General features: G+C 32.9%; 1 protein-coding gene across 22 annotated transcripts in view; it reads left to right on the top strand.

Annotated features, from left to right (window-relative positions):
* Positions 1-21,241, top strand: part of CEP290 (centrosomal protein 290) — a 93,073-nt gene that overhangs the window by 19,458 nt on the left and 52,374 nt on the right. For 13 of the 22 annotated variants that reach the window (XM_017019981.3, XM_017019980.3, XM_011538759.3 and 10 more), the window contains exons 14-28: positions 1,465-1,634; positions 2,355-2,517; positions 3,888-3,988; positions 4,061-4,148; positions 5,486-5,598; positions 6,098-6,865; positions 7,061-7,153; positions 7,449-7,533; positions 8,069-8,211; positions 10,773-10,937; positions 11,280-11,429; positions 13,450-13,565; positions 15,533-15,635; positions 15,726-15,956; positions 19,620-19,793. In XM_017019981.3, coding sequence (XP_016875470.1) covers positions 1,465-1,634; positions 2,355-2,517; positions 3,888-3,988; positions 4,061-4,148; positions 5,486-5,598; positions 6,098-6,865; positions 7,061-7,153; positions 7,449-7,533; positions 8,069-8,211; positions 10,773-10,937; positions 11,280-11,429; positions 13,450-13,565; positions 15,533-15,635; positions 15,726-15,956; positions 19,620-19,793 — 2,663 coding nt within the window. Of the gene's footprint in view, positions 1-1,464; positions 1,635-2,354; positions 2,518-3,517; positions 3,611-3,887; positions 3,989-4,060; positions 4,149-5,485; positions 5,599-6,097; positions 6,866-7,060; positions 7,154-7,448; positions 7,534-8,068; positions 8,212-10,772; positions 10,938-11,279; positions 11,430-13,449; positions 13,566-15,532; positions 15,636-15,725; positions 15,957-19,619; positions 19,794-21,241 lie in introns of those variants that run through there. The other 9 variants (XM_017019983.3, XM_047429563.1, NM_025114.4 and 6 more) reach the window with 3 other exon arrangements.

The raw sequence follows: 21,241 nt of genomic DNA, 5'->3' as shown, positions 1-21,241 counted from the left end.
ACTTTAGTCAGTCCGTAGTTATATAATCCCTAAAGCTCACAGAAGGTGTGTGTACTAGACTGTACTCTACATCTTGAACTTAACTTGTAAAACGTAATGGCTAATGGTATTCTTCCTTCATAAGATTAGGATTAGGTTTAGTTATCAGGAACAGAGAGCTGAAGAATAATGGCAAAATCAAGATAGACATTTATTTCTCATCTATGTAATGGCCTAGAATTAAGCATTCCAGGGTGTTGCCTTCATCTGCCCCATCCAAAATGGATGGAATGCAGCTTTATCTCATGTCTGTGTCCCAAACAGCAAGACAGAGGAAGAGGGGCAAGAGTTAAAAGCATGTGCTGAAGGATAGGCAGGTAAATATAGTGTTTATTGTGTAGGGCCATGTGGAAGAATGATAGGAGAATAGATATGTGGATGGAAGGGAGAATAGATACTGGGGGACAACTCAGCCTGTGTCATGTTCCACAGCTTAGATGTTAGCTCCAGACAGCTGTGCTCATTTCTTAAAAACTTTTGTGATCTCAAACGTACTAGTTTTATGCCTAAGTCCAATATTAAATATATAACCTATATATTAGTAAATGCTTATAATGAATGAGTGTGAGAATGATCTGTCAATCAATTTTGGAATGATAGCAATATTATGTTTTGGTCTTTTAACAATTTAGTAAGATATTACAAGTAGGCATTTAGGAAGTTTTTAGCTTAGTTTGGATTAAATTTAGCTGCAAGTGACAGAAAAATCAAGCATAATACAATAATTTAAACAAGATAGAAATTTATTTCTCTATAATATAGACAAAGTTGAAGCAACTAGGGCAGGATTTGTGTGACAGATGCTCAAATATCCCCTATCAGGAACCCTGTCTCTTGTTGCTGTGCCTATCTCAACATGTGGTTTCTAACTCATGTGAAGTTGCCACCCTCATATCCATGTGGATTTCAGCTAGCAGGAAGGAGGAAAGAGAAGAGAGATTACTCCTTTATTTTAAAAACATTTTTTTTTTTTTTTTTGAAATTCACATATGAACTTTGCGTTTATATTCCATTACTGACATGACCACACATAGCTGCTTGTGTGTAAGTGGAAATTTAGTTCTTTATTTCAAATGGCCACGTGTCAAGCTAAAAATCCATAGTTTTAGTACAGTGGACAAAAGGGAGGTTAAATATTAGGAACAGCTAGCAGTCTGTATCACAATGATCATTTTTTGTAAAGCAGTATTTTGCAACCTTTTAAAATCCATACCCCTTCAGCTAAGAAGGTTTTACTGAACTTCAGTTTTTTAGTAAATTGTATTAGTAAAACCAAAACAAAACTTTCATCTTACAAATATAAAATGACAACTTTAAAGGATTTTTTTTTAATGGCATACCACTTTTCTTGCCACCATGTTGGGATCACTGATTTGAAGGAATAAGTAGTCAATTCAATTCATGATTTTTGTTTTTACTCTGTAGGTGCTTCAACCCTTTCTCAACAGACTCATATGAAAATTCAGTCAACGTTAGACATTTTAAAAGAGAAAACTAAAGAGGCTGAGAGAACAGCTGAACTGGCTGAGGCTGATGCTAGGGAAAAGGATAAAGAATTAGTTGAGGCTCTGAAGAGGTTAAAAGATTATGAATCGGTATGTATTTTTATCTTGTCATTCAAGGAGCTTAGAATTATTCTTGCCATTCACAGACTATTCTGTGCTATTTACTGCATACCATTTAAAAAACATTCCATAAGTATCTTTTGATAAAGATTATCCTCATTAATTTATACTAAACTATTGAAACCTTTGAGCATTTACTTTTTGCCAGAATTGTTTTCAAACTTTTGATCACAGTGATTTGTCCAAATAATCAGTTTTGGTGAAGCAGCAGGATTACTTTTTTTTATTATCTGTGTTCATTGGGCCACCATGTAGATGTGACACCACTGGCCAATTTGACAGAATTTATGACAGGAACATACTGTGTCAATACAACCTGCTCTCCACTTTTTATACTTTTTCATTGGTTACAACTAATTCAAGCAACTAATGACTTACTTATTCTACTGGTATTGCTGATTTGCTTTTACTAATTCTTTTAGTATTTTGGTAAGTGTTTTTTATATGTAATGCATATTCAGAGTCACTTTGCCTTTAGGATATTATACTGGAAAGTTTTAACTGTTGCATATTACATCATTATTATTACTGGATTTGGTTTATAAAAGCACAATAAAAAACCAGTGTAATGATATAAATTATAGGCATATGTACATTTTCCTTTAGACTTAGTAAAAAAAAAATCATGAACTTGATAAATTTATTCAAGTAAACCATGTTATATTTTAAATTAAATTGGATATTTTTCAGGGAGTATATGGTTTAGAAGATGCTGTCGTTGAAATAAAGAATTGTAAAAACCAAATTAAAATAAGAGATCGAGAGATTGAAATATTAACAAAGGAAATCAATAAACTTGAATTGAAGATCAGTGATTTCCTTGATGAAAATGAGGCACTTAGAGAGCGTGTGGGTAAGCCATGTTTTAAGTTACATAGTTTGCGCAACCTGATTTACAAGTCTTTTTTTTTAATTTAAATTTTGTTTATTATTATTTATTAAGTAGTTTAATGCTTTTTTCAAATGCTTTTATAAAACATTTAATACAAATAAAAGTGGAGCTAACCTGATTGAAGTGGAATCAGATTTTATGGGGTTGGAGTGGTGGGTGGGCAGGGCTGGAACATTGCTTTATTTGGTCTAGCATCTCCTCAGTAATAGCTGCTTGTTTAAAAAGATGAAAGTTTATTAATACCACATATCAGAGATTAACCTTTTTTTTTCCCAACAAAAGTAGGGTCTGTATTACCCATGTTTGTTTGCAAAATGCTCTTGTAACAGATGAGATATTTAAACTTCTTGCTCTGTGTTGTGATTCTCCTGCCTCTGCCTCCTGAGTAGCTGGGATTACAGGTGTGCACCACTATGCCCGGCTAATTTTTGTATTTTTGGTAGAGATGGGATTTCACCATGTTGGCTAGGCTGGTCTCCAACTCCTGACCTTAAGTGATCCACCCGCCTTGGCCTCCCAAAGTGCTGGGATAATAGGCATGAGCCACCGCGCCTGGCCTGTTAAAATCTTTTAAAGATTTTTAAGTACTTGATTTTTATAATTTAGACTACTTACGTTTTACTTTGTTCGAGTATTTTAAGGAGTAATTAGTAATATAGCTTGAGAGTTTATATATTTATTTTAATAAATAGCCTATTAGTTAATATTACTAATTTGAGTGTTATGATAGTGCAGACTAAGTTGCTGCTTTAAAATGAAAATAAATATCTAAATATCAATTTCATTATTGCTAAATTTCATTTAATGCTTTCTTAGTTAAAAATGATCATTTGTAAAAACTATTATCTAAAGAAAAGACAAATAGACAAATAAGTATTTTATACAGATATATATGTGTGAAAAGTATCTAACTTGGATCCGTAGTTGTGCTAGGACCCCAAATTAGACTTCTGATCAACTTGGACTATCAGATCACAGCCTTCTGATCAACTTGGACTATCAGATCACAGCCAAGAATCTGGAAGTTCCTAAAGATGACTTCTGGCCCGTCTAGGTAGCTGTCATAGACATCATATTTTCTGTGCTTAAAAAGCTCCAAATCTTGGTTTATAATTTCATTTAGGTTTTTGTTAGGATTTCCATTAATAATTGTGATAAAATTTTAACTTGGGTTACAGTTTAAATATCTGGAAAATTCTTTCACAGAAAGTTACCTCATTCTTCAGTGATACTGGCTAAGTGAATTATAACCAGTTGCTTGATGGTATATGACATTTTTGCAGCTTATTTGAATGTTTTTAAGTTTTTAATTATATTGCTTTCTATTGTAGGCCTTGAACCAAAGACAATGATTGATTTAACTGAATTTAGAAATAGCAAACACTTAAAACAGCAGCAGTACAGAGCTGAAAACCAGATTCTTTTGAAAGAGGCAAGTGTGGTAGTCAGTTGATTATTTTCTTGGCTGAACTATAGAGAAATACTAATAATTTATACTTTGCAGATTGAAAGTCTAGAGGAAGAACGACTTGATCTGAAAAAAAAAATTCGTCAAATGGCTCAAGAAAGAGGAAAAAGAAGTGCAACTTCAGGTATACTCAGTTATTCTAAACCTTTAAAAAGAATTATTGATAAGTGAGTTGTCTGGATATGAAATTATTTGTGTCTTAGCTGTTTTTGCTGTTCTATTGTGGATCTGCTACAAATTTAATAAATGACAATAATAACCTGAAGGAGATAAGTGAGTGTCAGTGGGTTCAGTCCTGAATCTGAAATAGACAAAAACAAAACAAAACAAAATAACAAAAACCAAGCAAACAAAAAAGAAAAAAACCTTAGAATTATGGAATTTTTGAAAAGTTTTATAGTATAGTATTTTAATTTCTAGACAGCACCAATATGTTGTTATTAATAATAATAAAACTTAGTAGTTTTTATGTTAATATATGTTACTCAACATTTTCCCTTTCCTTAAGGACTATGCATTGAAAAGCTTTTCTTGTAAGTTATTATTATTATTATTATTATTAATATTTGAGATGGAGTCTGTCTTGTTCTATTGCCCAGGCTGGAGTGCACTGGTGCGATCTTGCTCATTGCAACCTCCGCCTCCCGGGTTCTAGTGATTCTTGTGCTTCAGCCTCCTGAGTAGTTGAGACTACAGGCGTGAGCCACCACGCCTGACTTATTTTTGTATTTTTAGTAGAAACAGGGTTTCACCATGTTGGCCCAGGCTGGTCTTGAACTCCTGACCTCAAGTGATCCATCCACTTTGGCTCCCCAAAGTGCTGGAATTATAGGCGTGAGCCACCATGCCTGGCCTTAAATTATTCTTTTCTAAGTGAAAGTAATGTTTTATTGAATATAAATTAACATCTTTCTTGGGTTTATTTTACTTGAGCTAAAGAGAACAGTTGGTTAAGTTTTATAATAGCCATTGCAGTGCTTTTTTGTAAGAAGACCACACAGAAGGACTGTCTTTTTCACTTGCCCCAAATCCCCAAGCACGTATATGAGTAATAGCAGAGTGGTTCTTTTTAGCATTATGATTTCTATAATACATCCAAAACTTTCTCAAGAAAAAACTTCATGATTTATTAGTACAATAATCAGTTTACTCATTACTCATCATTTATATTTACTTTATATGTCTTTTAACTGGTGCTTATTAAGTAGCACTTTAATATAGAATAGGCAAAGAATGGTAGAGAAGATGAAATTCAAAAATTAGGTTCTCACATTATTAATAGTTCATTAAAAGTGAGCTAAATGAGAAGCTTGTATTGGCTATGTAGAATTTTGGAGGGATTTTGGAAACAATTATTCTACCTTTGCATTAAAACTTGATTGTAGGTTTTAAGAATTAAAGTGTTGGAATAGTAGGAGGGTTATTTTAATGTTTTTAGTTTGTTAATTCTCTTATATATAGGATTAACCACTGAGGACCTGAACCTAACTGAAAACATTTCTCAAGGAGATAGAATAAGTGAAAGAAAATTGGATTTATTGAGCCTCAAAAATATGAGTGAAGCACAATCAAAGGTAATAGTAAAGTATTGCAAAGAGAGTAAAGGAAAATATTTTTTTTTTTTTTTTTTTTTGAGACGGAGTCTCGCTCTGTCTCCCAGGCTGGAGTGCAGTGGCGCGATCTCGGCTCACTGCAAGCTCCGCCTCCCGGGTTCATGCCATTCTCCTGCCTCAGCCTCCCAAGTAGCTGGGACTACAGGCGCCCGCCACCACGCCCGGCTAATTTTTTGTATTTTTAGTAGAGACGGGGTTTCACCGTTTTAGCCGGGATGGTCTCGATCTTCTGACCTCGTGATCCGCCCGCCTCGGCCTCCCAAAGTGCTGGGATTACAGGCGTGAGCCACCGCGCCCGGCCAGGAAAATATTTTTATTGTGTTTTCATTTCTTCCCCCTTTATCTCATTCTTGAACATCTAATCTTATTATTGTTGTTAAATAAGTAGAGGGAAATATTTGCTTATTTAACCTGTTGATTCAAAGATTGATTAATGAGACATTATTTACTCTGAATACAGATTAGGAGTTCAGATAAAGCAGAGCTGCTGCATAGGAGATCATCATTCAATACCCCACAGTCAGATCAGAATGAGACAGAAGAGAATATGACCATAGGATCATTATCAAGAATGTTATCTGAAATTCACCATAGTGTAGAAAGTGGAATGCATCCTTTTGTCCCTTTAACTAGACTTTCTTCATCCATGCAAGTTAAAGAGAATTCAACTCCAGAAACTATTACAATAAGAGAGATTTTTAAAGCACCATGTCTGCAGTCTTCAAGAAATCTAGAATCGTTAGTCAGCACCTTTAGTAGGGAAAGCCATGAAGAAATAAATGACATATGCCTTTTTTCTGATGACTGTATGAAGAAGGTGTCAAGAAGCCATCAAGCACTAGAGAAGACTAGTTTTGTACAAAAAAGCAATTCATCTTTTCATGGCTTATCAACAGCTTCAGACATAATGCAGAAGTTATCACTTAGGCAAAAATCTGCAATATTTTGTCAACAAATTCATGAAAATAGAGCTGACATGGATAAATCACAAGTAGCAACATTAGAAGAAGAACAGGTTCATTCCCAAGTAAAGTATGCTGATATCAATTTGAAAGAAGATATAATAAAAAGTGAAGTACCCTTACAGACAGAGATATTGAAAAATAAGCTTAAGGTTAATCTTCCAGACCCTGTGTCTATTACTGCACAATCAAAATTATCTCAGATAAATTCTCTTGAAAATCTTATAGAACAGTTACGGAGAGAGCTAGTATTTCTTAGATCTCAGGTGAGTTTTTCTCCAAATTATATTTCTGTGGTTGTTCTTTTATGACGTCTCTAACAAAGTTCTGTAACAATTATAGTTAGAATATTTTTGTTTGCACTTTAACATCAGTTATACACATTGTACTTTTTAAAATCTAAAATGCAGTACATTGATATGAACTCATTGACTTGTCTAATTTATTAAATTTTTCTTTAGAATGAAATCATAGCACAGGAATTCTTGATCAAAGAAGCAGAGTGTAGAAATGCAGATATAGAGCTTGAACATCACAGAAGCCAGGCAGAACAGGTAGTGTAAAGGCAGAACATTAAAAGAGATGATTGTGGTACTAAAGACAAAAACCGTTATATCTTTTTGCCTCTTACCATGGATGTTGGGAGAGGGAGAAAGTGGGATTAAGATCACCATCTGCTTTACTGTTTAGATTTTAGTTTATTTTTATGATTGCTGCTATGTCTTCATAGCTCGTTTTTTTTGTTTTGTTTTGTTATACTTAATTGATCAAACTTTTCTTAACTTGAAAATTATAGACTTGTGATATTTTGTTGAAAAAAATCAATTTTATTCTCTCTGCTTTTTTCAGAATGAATTTCTTTCAAGAGAACTAATTGAAAAAGAAAGAGATTTAGAAAGGAGTAGGACAGTGATAGCCAAATTTCAGAATAAATGTAAGTTACAATTATCTTTTACTTTTCTGTTCTTATTTTTCCTATACTTAAAATCATGGGCCTAAAAGGGCGTTAACACATTCTCTGTTTTCTAATCTGCTTTACTCCTAATTACCTCTGTACTGTATATACTTCAGTCTGTCACTATCCAGTTGATTTGCCTTGCTGTTTTCATTGTGAGAGAATGTTACTAATATGAATTTTTTGTGAGAATATATAACTCCTTTTTCTTGTGTGTTCTTCAATCAAAATGAAGTTAGAACACCAAATTTAAAATACTTTAATATAAAGCATAGTTTAAGTTAAGGCAGAAGTATGCCTTATATACGTGTGTATATGCACGTGATATAAATAGGTCTGTCATTTAACTCAACTATTCACGTTGGATTTATAGTTGAATTTTTTTGTATGTTTATTTACATTTGGATTTTTCCAATGATGTCTTTGGTATATGTGAAATATTTGTCATCTGTATAGCATAGTGTAAATTGTGAAAAAGATCTGATCATCCAATGAGAAAACTGTGTAATTACAGTAAAAGAATTAGTTGAAGAAAATAAGCAACTTGAAGAAGGTATGAAAGAAATATTGCAAGCAATTAAGGAAATGCAGAAAGATCCTGATGTTAAAGGAGGAGAAACATCTCTAATTATCCCTAGCCTTGAAAGACTAGTTAATGTAAGTTATTTTTTTCATGTTAATGTTTTTCCCCTATCACTTTAGAGAGATTTTCTGCTGTGTACAGATCTCCATAGTTTCTGATGAGATATTTTTAGTCATTTGAATCATTGTTTCCCTGTATGTAAAGTGTAGTTTTTCTTGAGCTGCTTTCAATACTTTTCTTCTACCAATTGGATAATTGTTATTAATCTGTCTTCAAGTTCACTGACATTTTCCTCTTTATCTGTGTTCTTTTGGTTCAAGGGTCAGCTTGAGACCTTGAGGAGTTTTTTACACCGACTTTGGAGCTCGTTTTTGCTGACTCTTTTCTTATTGGGATTTTCCTTTCACTTATCCCATGGCTTTGGGCTGTATCCTGTGGTTTTCTAGATGAGAAAGATGATAGATCTCTGCAATTGCACCCTGCCCTATGACTAAATCTTTAAAAATGGCAAAGTCAATCTTTGCTGGTCCTGTCTTCCGTATTTGAGGGGTTTTTTCCCAAAATCTGCTTGCTTTTGTTCATTTTCTAGAACATCTAGGTAGTTTTTTTTCATTCATTTTTTATTTATGGGAGTGTAGATCTCTTAGGAACTTATGCCATCAGAAGTATTATGAAATGGCTTTATTCTAAATGTTTAAAGATTTACTCATTGCTACAAGAAAGATTTAGCCATCACTAATATTCTATATATATTTACCATATAGGGACTTGAGAATTTCACAGGATTCAGTATCTGTATATAAACTTGAATAATATACACATTTTAGATTGTTAATATTTAAGTATATGTCATTTATGTTATCTGAACATATTTAGCGTACATTGTCATATTATTTCCCAAATTTGTGCTTGATTTCAAATGGGAAAAAAATTCTTATTATTTATTGAATTGTTTTTTTAAAAAAATCATGATTAATCAGTAATTGGATACTTTTTAAAATAACACTATAATTGTTAACAGAGAATGAGAGTGATACTGGTATGTTAAAAACTTCCTGAGGCAAGAAAATAATTTGATTCCCATTATATCTTTCTCATACTGACTTTCCTTCTCTGATTGGTGATTTTGTTTTGCCTCTGCCACTTTGAATGTCTAAAATGATTCTTTATGCTTTTTTTATGTGAACATCTTTTGTCCGTGATGATGCCCACTACTGATACTGTGTCCCAGATCAAACTTAATTTTCCAAGGGCAGCTCTACTTAGTGACCAAATGAAAACACAGTGAATAGCCCAAGAAATCCTAACTTCTATTTATGTTGACAATCTCTGGACCTTCCTGAAGCCACTGTTTGCATAGACTTCATTTACTTTTATCCGGGATTGTCATTGTTTTTTCAGATTCATAGGCCCTATCTGAAATTCACAAATCACCTAGCAATACTTCTCTAAGAAATCTTCAGAATCCATGACAATTTAGACCAGACAATGCTGGATTATGCACTTCAGTTCACTTTTTGTTACTACAAGGTATTTTTCAGTGCCCCCAACAGCTATCTTAACTCATTCTCATTTTACCAAAGTCCATGTAGACACGGCACTATTCCTCAATGAGACAACTAACTAGACCACCTTGTTGTCAGTCAGAGTACCTTCCTCTACCTACTTTTATCTTCCTTATATCCTCTTTGAGTTAGTATAAGTTATTACTCTGCATGACCTGCTCTAATCTCCTTCAGGGGAAGGCTTTTACAAATCTACTACCTAGAGTTAAACCCCAGATCACCTTCCTGAGTAGGAGATTGCATTTGGTTCTATTCATTTTACCTTATTTGGCTTCTACCTTCACTTTTTAAGACTTACTTTGCCTTTAACAGTTTTTTCCATACAGTTCATCTAAAGTCCAAATATATTTATTAGATGTGTGCATTGTGTGTATATACTTAGATATGCCACTGTTGGAGATTTCGGGCCAGTGATGCCACTCTGATAATATTTTAATATTTGACATATTATTTTTGCTTACTCATTATTCTTAGATAATATCATGTTATGATACCTTGCCTTTATTTTTATTTATGCTTCAACTATGTGGAGAGGAAGCACTGAAAAATTCACTTAATTGAATGTTGTATTGATCAATTGTTCAATATTGTATTCCATTCCTTTGCGCATGCTTTGAATGCAGGTGCTATATAATTTCAGAGAAAAATACCTCATTTTGACTGTACAAAAACCCCATGTAGGGAGCAGAGCTCACATTGTTTTCCCCTTTTAGAGACAAGAAAACTAAGATACAGAGAATTTAAGTCACTTGCCCAGCTGTTAAGTGACTGATTAAAATTTGAACCCTGGTCATCTTATTCCCGTCTGGTTGTTTTTCTAGTCTACCAGTCTATTAAGATTAGCTAGGTGTTTTTTAATTGTTTTAATGAAGTAATTACTATGCTTGGTAATGTAAATGAAAGTTTTATAGATTCATAAATAAGAATTTGAATTGGCATACTTTATTATCATGCTTGGCAATGAAAATAGGAAAATGCTTAAATGTCCATTTTATTTAAAGACAGACTGTTTTTTACTATGATTTTACTGTTTTTCTCCACATTTCTAATATATAATATAAATTTGCTAGGCTATAGAATCAAAGAATGCAGAAGGAATCTTTGATGCGAGTCTGCATTTGAAAGCCCAAGTTGATCAGCTTACCGGAAGAAATGAAGAATTAAGACAGGAGCTCAGGGAATCTCGGAAAGAGGCTATAAATTATTCACAGCAGTTGGCAAAAGCTAATTTAAAGGTGAGAATTTTATTAAATAAAAGAAAATGCTAAACATAAGAATGTAGATTTAATAGGAAATTTTTAATTTTTTAAAAAGAATGCTTTATGAGAAAATGCCCCTTGAATTAATTCTTTCAATATTAAGAAACTGGATTTCTCTTATAAAATTATAAGTGGAAAATAAGTGCCTTATAAGATTGAAAAGAATACAAAAATTCTAAATCTCATACCTAGGCATTTCTAAGCAGAAACTGAAGTATGGTTGAGGTAAAATTCCTGGCAGGGCATTCACATATCTGTCAATTTGTCTTTCTTTGGGTGTAAGAGTTGTGATTCTCATTGCTGGATTTTTTTTTCCAGATAGACCATCTTGAAAAAGAAACTAGTCTTTTACGACAATCAGAAGGATCAAATGTTGTTTTTAAAGGAATTGACTTACCTGATGGGATAGCACCATCTAGTGCCAGTATCATTAATTCTCAGAATGAATATTTAATACATTTGTTACAGGTATTGAAAATTTTGTTACAGGTATTGAAAATTTTACATGTGAATAACAAAAATCATTGGTAGTATGTTTCTTTATGTTTTTATTTTTATTTTACTTTATTTTAATTTTTCCATCACCAAAGCATGCAGATAGTACTTTTCTCAATATTTAGTCTTCATGTATTCCTGAGTTCTCAAAATAGTAACAGTGAAATATATTTTTTATGGATTTTGATGTTAGATGGATTATAAATAAAAGCAATTTATACCATTCATTCCATTCATCTGCATGAGCAGCATGTTCATACATCTTGTTCGCACACCTGTCATTCATGTGAAATATATGGTTCACAAGCAGAACAACAAGCAGCTATTATAAAGCAGTGTTAAGTAAATGAGCACTTTTATTTCTTGCTGGGTGGAAAACAAAAGAATAAAGTCTGTCAAGGCTTTTTAGTGTCATGATAGAATTGTTCCCCTTTTTGCATTCACAAGTAAAAACTACTTTTTTTTTGAGACAGAGCCTCACTCTGTCACTCAGGCTGGAGTGCAGTTGCGCTATCTTGGCTCACTGCAACTTCCACCTCCTGAGTTTAAGTGATTCTCATGCCTCAGCCTCCTGAGTAGCTGGGACTACAGGCATGCATCCCTGGCTAATTTTTGTATTTTTTTTTAGTAGAGATGGTGTGTCGTCATATTGGCCAGGCTGGTCTCAAACTCCTGGTCTCAAGTGATTCGCCTGCCTTGGCCTCCCAAGGTGCTAGGGTTACAGACGTGAGCCACTGCACACAGCCATAAGCAAAAACTTCTAAACCAAATTATTCTTCATCTTTGTCTTCCCTTTACGCAATAAAATGTTAATCTACCACCAAAGAGGAAAGGGTACTCTACTATACTACCTGCCCTGGGTTTCTCAGTTTTGCTGTCTATATAATGGTCGTTATGAATGTCCTAATGACAGATCCTTTTCATTATTTTATTTGAAATTTGACTATCTATAACATCACATACATTATAAATATAATTACAAATATATGTTCAGAATCAATGAAAATATATTTTTGATTATATGGGCCACTATTTCTCTCTGCTAGGTGATCCATTTGTGAGTATACTTGAGTTATAATTATTAAGTACTCATTTTTATTTTGGAAATTACAGTAATTCATCTTTTTCTCAATATTGGGATTTTTATTATTATTTTATGTTGTCTAAGGACAGCCTTAACTACTTATTAGAATATTGCTTTGTATGTGATATTATTATTTTTAAATGTATAATTTTAACATTATTATTTCTCTTATTTACCTGAGGTATAGGAACACTATCAGCAAATATTGGTAGTATGGCATTGTCGTATTTTTTGAGATAAAATTCATGATTTTTAATCTTTGTATAAGAAATATATCAGAAGTTTGTAGTAGATTAGAGAGTACCAACTGGGAGTCTGAAAAGCTGTCCAAAGTGGCAAAACAGGTACTTAGACTCTCAATCCTAAGGCTGTATAGAGCTATAAACGTGGCAAGACCTTTGGAGTCAGACAGACCCAAACTCAAATGTTGGATCCATGTATATGGAAAGCACCTGACAACAAGCCTAGCATATGTACTTGGTAAAAATGATTGCCAAGTGTAGTGTTAATGAGTTTTTGGATATTGAGTAAGTTATTTAAATTTCAATTTCATCTTTAAAATGAAATAATTGGAAAGGATAATTTGAGTGAGGGTATGAAATTATGTGTTCATAAGAGAGGGTATGTGGCCGAGTGACTAGAGGCGAGTTTATAACTATTCTATCTAATAAAACTTTGTAATCTGGTAATTTGTGTGCTAAAAATAACTTTACCTGTTGTATAGTACTCTTTTTTTATGCCTTAAACTAAAGTGTTCAAAATATCATGGAAAAATGATCTGTGTTGCTTACAGATTTGGTGACTTTTAACTTTCCTATAATGTTGTCAGAATATGAATTTATACTTTCAAATTCAGCATTTATTCTATTGTGTTTTTTTTTGCATTCTTATTTCTAAACCACTTTTCAGGAACTAGAAAATAAAGAAAAAAAGTTAAAGAATTTAGAAGATTCTCTTGAAGATTACAACAGAAAATTTGCTGTAATTCGTCATCAACAAAGTTTGTTGTATAAAGAATACCTAAGGTATAGGTATTAGCAAAACTATAAATATAATTGCAGTATATTCTTGTTAATTGTGAAAGTAACGTAAGAATAATTTATGTTTTGTTCTTCCCTTCTTCTTCTTCCTTTGCAATTGTATTTTTTTTTACTCTGGTAACTACTGTTAGGAACTTATTTATGGAGACAGTGTAGCTTAATGATTACATTAAGCCTGGGATTATCCTGCCTGGGTTTGAGTCATTTAACGTTTGCTTTTTGTAAGAGCTTGAGCAAGTCATCTTACCTATCTGTGTCTCAGTTTCCTTATCTGTAAGTTACTTTGTAAGTAATACCCTTTTCATAGGATTATTGTAAAACGTAAATGAATTATTAGATGAAAATGCTCGGACTAGTGTGTGGCACATATGAACAGTTTGTAAATGTTAGCTGTTGTTAGCATCATTCATCATCATCACAATCATCATTGTTCATATATGTTTATAGGGAACTAACATATTTCTCCTTATTTCTGTCATCTCATCTAAATCAATAGAATGATTTCCTTAATAGGAATTAGAATACCTAATCAAAGGTGATTTAAACACTAAGAATAATTATTATCTGACCTAACCAGAACCACAAAGCTAGTTGTAGGGCAGGTCATATTTGAAGGTTGTTGTTATCGCCTATGATGGTTGTAAAATAGCTGCATGAATTCAAGAAAGATGATGTGCCCATTGAAGAAGAGGAGCATTTTTTTCTACATAGCTTTTATTTTTAAATAAACATTTTTTTCTGGTGATACCTGGCAGACATTGACTCCGATCTCATTTGCTAGAATTGGATCACATGTCCAAGTCTGAACCATTCAGTTGCAAAGAGAATGATACCGCTATACTGGGTTTATGCCAAGAACATTACACATGTTTGTGGAATGCTCATGTGTAGACAACAGTGTCTTACACAACTTCAAAAAAATAATTTATATATAAATATGTTTTAAATTACTTTTTAAATTCACAAGAATTTATGGTATACAACATGGTGTTCTATATATGTATATACTATGCTATACAACATGGTGTTCTATATATGTATATACTATGCTATACAACATGGTGTTCTATATATGTATATACTGTGGAATGGCTAAATCAAGCTACTTAACATATGTATTACCTCGCATACTTTTTTTTTTTTTTCCTTGAGACAGAGTCTTGCTCTGTCACCCAGGCTGGAGTGCAGTGGCGCTATCTTGGCTCACTGCAACCTCTGCCTCCTGGGTCCAAGTTATTTTCTTGCCTCAGCCTCCCAAGTAGCTGAGATTACAGGCATGTGCCACCACGCCTGGCTAATTTTTGTATTTTTGGTAAAGACGGAGTTTTGCCATATTGTCCACGCTAGTCTCAAAATTCCTAGCCTCAAGCAATCTGCCCACCTTGGCCTCCCAAAGTGCTGGGATTACAGCATACTTCTTCTTATTTTTTTTTTTTTTTGCACTAAGAACACTTAAAATTTACTCTCTTAGCAATTTTAAAGTATATAATATACTGTTATTAACTTTGGTCACTATTTTAATTAGACTTAAGATGTGTTTGTATTCAAATTATTTTGTAAGCATTTAACACCCAAATTTGAGAGTGGGGTCAGAATGTTGGAATTTGATTTCTAGAATTAGTATAGGGTATTATTTTCCTACTTTTTTTCTGTGTTCAATAAAATGTTTATAAGATTCAGCTTCAATTATATTATAACCCATTTAGTGGTGAATCAGGGAAGAATGAAAATAATTTGATAACTTTGTTGCCTTGCATTTATTTAAAAAATTTTTAATTCTAGGCTAAACCCTTTTTAAATGAAAGTTTAACTTCTTGTGTTTTCAGATACTGAATAGCTATGATACCTCTTGTGTTGAGAAAACTTTAAATTTGCATAATCTGAAGTTATCTTTTCTTATAAACATTTTATTAGGTTTACAGTATTGTCTTTTTGTTTTGTTTTGTTTTTAGTGAAAAGGAGACCTGGAAAACAGAATCTAAAACAATAAAAGAGGAAAAGAGAAAACTTGAGGATCAAGTCCAACAAGATGCTATAAAAGTAAAAGAATATAATGTAAGTAAAACATTTTTAACATTAGTATGCAATATTGTACAAAGTAGGATAGCTAGATTCAACAAGTAATATGGATGTGTCTTTGTGCAGAATTTGCTCAATGCTCTTCAGATGGATTCGGATGAAATGAAAAAAATACTTGCAGAAAATAGTAGGAAAATTACTGTTTTGCAAGTGAATGAAAAATCACTTATAAGGCAATATACAACCTTAGTAGAATTGGAGCGACAACTTAGAAAAGAAAATGAGAAGCAAAAGAATGAATTGTTGTCAATGGAGGCTGAAGTTTGTGAAAAAATTGGGTGTTTGCAAAGATTTAAGGTACATCTGATTCTTATTTTGCTTTTTCTGACTATGAAAAATTTCAAATATGCAGAAGATAGGATGGTATCAATAATGCTCATCACCTGAATTAATAGTTAACATTTATTAACATTTTGTCATAATTGCTTCTTCTGATTTTTGTGGGATGTTTGAATTGCAGACATTCCTCCCCTAAATATTTAATGTACCCTTTTGAAAAAGGCTTTTTTCTTTAACTAACCATAGTAACTTTATTATACCTAACAAAATGACAGTAATTTTCTAATATCGCCTAATACCCTGATTATAGTCACATTTTTTACATTTTTTGATCAAAGAATAAGCATTTGGATGTTACATCTCATAAATCTTTTTAATATAGAATCCCCTTGGTTTTCTTTTTCTCCAAAAAATGTTTGAAGATGTATCTAACTTTTGTGTGTGTGTCATTTTACTTGTTCCTGTGTCCCTTGTATTACTAAAAGTTAGGTCAGAACCCTAAGTTACATTCAGGTTTAAACATTTTTGGCAAGAATACTTCATAAGTAGTGTTCTATACTTTATATTGCATCACTTCAAGAGTATCTGGTTGTTCCATGTTTTGTAATTGATTACTCTGTTAAGGAAAAGACAAGCAGACCAAGTATGGTGGCTCATGCCTATAATTCCAACATTTTGGAAGGCCCAGGCAGGAAAATTTCCTGAGCCCAGACCAGCCTAGGCAATATAGTGAGACTCCGTCTCTACAAAAAATGTTTTTTTTTTTGTTTGTTTGTTTTTAATTAGCTTGGTGTAGTGGCACATGCTTGTAATCCCAGCTACCTGGGACATTGAGGTGGGAGGATCGCTTGAGCCCAGGAAGTTGGGGGCTGCAGTGAGCTGTGATCATGTGCCACTGATCTCCAGCCTATGTGCCTGTATAACAGAGCGAGTCTCTCTCTTAAAAGAAAAAAAGAAGAAGAAGAAGAAGAAAAGATAACCATATACCTCCATTATTAAGCAATTTAGCTAACTGGTGATATTTTGGTACCATACAAATAACAAATTATTTGTCAGTCCTAATGATTTTAGCATCTGCTGATGATTGTTGCCTAACCCAATTATTAAAAGTTGCAAACATCATAATTTTCTAGTTATATTATGCACTTACATTTATTAACAGACATGCTTTTGTAAAATAAATAGCGTTTCCTCATTAGCCCAGGCTATTTGTTTATCTTGAAGTTTAGCTCCTACTACAAAGGCAAGATAAATGCTTTTCTCTTTAATTACCAGTTTTCAGAATACACACTTGGTGTACTCTGCACTACCTGCTTTTTTTGTCCCCTCCGCTTTCTCTTTTTTAAGTATCAGATTAGACTCACAGATTTTTAAATATTCCATGTGTTTTAGTTGGAGTCATATTCTTTTGTCTCAACTTTAGCCAAAGAGAGTCCTTTAAAGTTGACTCTTATATTGTCTTGACAAAAATTCATTAGTCTTTTGAACGAAGCCTCAAAGCTTGACTTGTTTTCTAGCATAAGATGTCTTAGACTTACCTACATACTTCATGCCCATACTTGGAATAAACCATTTCTTTAAAGAGCCCAGGTTCCTTTTAGTGGGGAAGGCATTTAGATACCAAAAACTGGCCACTGGGCATCATTGCTCTCAGAGTATCATTGCCACTAGTCTCTCAGTAGACAAGTTAGAAAAATATGTATATATTTAAACCATGAGTTCATATTGTTATTTCCAGTTTAATTATAACATTATGGGGTAAGTAAATAGTATCGGATTTTTACTAAGCTTCTTTGATTTTGCACTTGTATTTTTTTCTTACATAGAAAACCTTTATTATTAACATTAAAATATTTGTTTTATCCTACAATATACATACAATAATTTGAAAAATAATACTTGAATTGATATTAATAGTAACAACAACAGCACTGCTGCCAAACATAGTTTAAAGTTTTATTTCAGGTCTTATTTTCTTCAGAATATATCTTGCTGAGAATGTATAGGCAAAGTATTCTACACTTACTTGAAATAATTGTCTTCATGCGGTTATGTTATACATTTGATATATAGTTAGGCTCATTTGTTTTTCATTTTTTTTATTTTAGGGATTTTTTTCCTTTATTGAATTTTAATATATACAATATTTATATATGCAAAATATTTAATCAGAGAAATCTTAATTCTGGTCTTACGCCTTTCATATTATTCTGCTCCACCCTCTGTAGGTAACTTATTATCTTTCTCATGTTTCCTTTTTGGAAACATAAACAAAGACAAGACAGGTTACATGACATGTATACCCTTCTGCACCTAGTTTTATACCTTACCTTGTAGTTTATTTTTAAGCATGTAAATGTTCAATGTTCATGACTAAATTTGGACAGGATCATAGGAACACAGAATTCAAAGTGAAATTAAAATGGGCTTGGGTTCTTTACTTTCCACTTTAAAGGTTGTAATGGGTGATGTCAGGCTAATAAACCTATTTTCAGCTTGATCTAAAGCTTAATACTGAGCATCAAGAAATTCTTTAATAAATATAAGTGATATTTATTCAGACATGTAATAAGGAAATGTTCATGTCTTATTTTTGTGTTAGATTTTTTTAGAATCTACTTTTGTTAGAGTTTTATAAATACAGTTAGTGTTTGAGATAGAAAGAGAAAAGAATTAGTTTTCTTCCTCTTCTACCTGCTCATGAACTTGATTTTTTTCTCCCAACAATTGAAGAGCCAAGAAAAAGGGAGATTCTTAAGAGATGGGAAATAGAATCTCATCTACCCCTGTTTCCCCCAGAACAGTGAAACTGAATCTTAAGGGTAAGATAGAATAGTGTGTACTTAACTTAGATGGAGAAGAAAGGCTGCCAAAATGAGATCTGAAGCGCTATTACAAATATTTCCATCGTTACTGTACTTCAGAATGAATTACAACCGTAAGTTTTTTTACTTCCTCATTCATAAATTTGATTATTCCTTATACCACTTCTCAGCTTTCATCATTCTTTATTGTACTTTTCTATGTAATGTTTGCCTATTATACAGCAACTTAAGAGAACTGTAAGTTTGGACATTTCATTTTGGTGTTGATAATAGAATATCTTTGAATAGTTCTATAGTTGATGAGTAGAACCATGAACCAAGTAACTTAAAGTCCTTGATGTTATTTATTACAGAGAACTATAATAGAAGCTCTCCCGCTAATGTTTCCATCATGTGTACAAAAAGTTTTCTTGTTATTAAAGCTAGTCCGTTTAACTTACAATAAGCATAAATAGCTAAGCTGTGAAAGTTACCTGTGATAATGCTAATTTTCCCATTTATTAAAAGGCAAGTTGTTTTCCGATCATAAGAAATTTAGAAAAGCCATCCAAAGATAAATTCCGAGTGATATATTCCTGCTGTTTGTTATGTTTTCTCAAATTAATTGAGTTTTATTTTACAATGACAGGAGTTATTAAAGTATTTTATTTTTATTATGATTAAGATTTTCAAAGTAACATTTCTTATATGAAAGAAATTATGTTAATGCATGTTTTTCTTACATGGGAAATCATATATTTTAAAAATGATTTTAAAATTCGTTTTACTTTAAGTTGTATTATCTTTCTCAAAAGTGGCTAGTGCTTGACCAGAAAAAAAGACACCAGCATAACTCAGTGTATCTTTATTTACATAGGAAATGGCCATTTTCAAGATTGCAGCTCTCCAAAAAGTTGTAGATAATAGTGTTTCTTTGTCTGAACTAGAACTGGCTAATAAACAGTACAATGAACTGACTGCTAAGTACAGGGACATCTTGCAAAAAGATAATATGCTTGTTCAAAGAACAAGTAACTTGGAACACCTGGAGGTAAGTTTGTGTGATTCTTGAACCTTGTGAAATTAGCCATTTTTCTTCAATATTTTTGTGTTTGGGGGGATTTGGCAGATTTTAATTAAAGTTTGCCTGCATTTATATAAATTTAACAGAGATATAATTATCCATATTATTCATTCAGTTTAGTTATAAATATTTTGTTCCCACATAACACACACACACACACACAATATATTATCTATTTATAGTGGCTGAATGACTTCTGAATGATTATCTAGATCATTCTCCTTAGGTCACTTGCATGATTTAGCTGAATCAAACCTCTTTTAACCAGACATCTAAGAGAAAAAGGAGCATGAAACAGGTAGAATATTGTAATCAAAGGAGGGAAGCACTCATTAAGTGCCCATCCCTTTCTCTTACCCCTGTACCCAGAACAAACTATTCTCCCATGGTCCCTGGCTTTTGTTCCTTGGAATGGATGTAGCCAACAGTAGCTGAAATATTAAGGGCTCTTCCTGGACCATGGATGCACTCTGTAAATTCTCATCATTTTTTATTGTAGAATAAATGTAGAATTTTAATGTAGAATAAATTTATTTAATGTAGAATAAAAAATAAAAAAACTAGAGTAGAATATCATAAGTTACAATCTGTGAATATGGACCAGACCCTTTGTAGTTATCTTACAGCCACTTGAACTCTATACCTTTTACTGAGGACAGAACAAGCTCCTGATTTGTTCATCTTCCTCATCAGAAATAGAGGCTTATGGATTTTGGATTATTCTTATCTAAGATCCTTTCACAGGAGTAGAATAAGATCTAATTCTATTAGCTCAAAAGCTTTTGCTGGCTCATAGAGACACATTCAGTAAATGAAAACGTTGTTCTGAGTAGCTTTCAGGATTCCTACTAAATTATGAGTCATGTTTATCAATATTATTTAGAAGTAATCATAATCAGTTTGCTTTCTGCTGCTTTTGCCAAAGAGAGGTGATTATGTTACTTTTTATAGAAAATTATGCCTATTTAGTGTGGTGATAATTTATTTTTTTCCATTCTCCATGTCCTCTGTCCTATCCTCTCCAGCATTAGAAAGTCCTAGGCAAGAGACATCTTGTGGATAATGTATCAATGAGTGATGTTTAACGTTATCATTTTCCCAAAGAGTATTTTTCATCTTTCCTAAAGATTTTTTTTTTTTTTTTTTGAGATGGAGTTTCATTCTGTCACCCAGGCTGAGTGCAGTGGCACGATCTCGGCTTAACGCTTACTGCATCCTCTGCCTCCCAGATTCAAGCAGTTCTCCTGCCTCAGCCTCTGAGTAGCTGGGATTACAGGTGTGCACCACCACACCAGCTAATTTTTTTTTTTTTTTTTTTTTTTTTGAGGCAGAGTCTCGCTCTGTCACCCAGGCTGGAGTGCAGTGGCGCCATCTTGGCTCACTGCAAGCTCCACCTCCCGGGTTCAGGCCGTTCT

This window comes from Homo sapiens, chromosome 12 (genome assembly GCF_000001405.40).
Source record: "Homo sapiens chromosome 12, GRCh38.p14 Primary Assembly".
Classification (NCBI taxonomy): Eukaryota; Metazoa; Chordata; class Mammalia; order Primates; family Hominidae; genus Homo; species Homo sapiens.
This window is presented reverse-complemented; position numbering and strand designations above follow the sequence as displayed.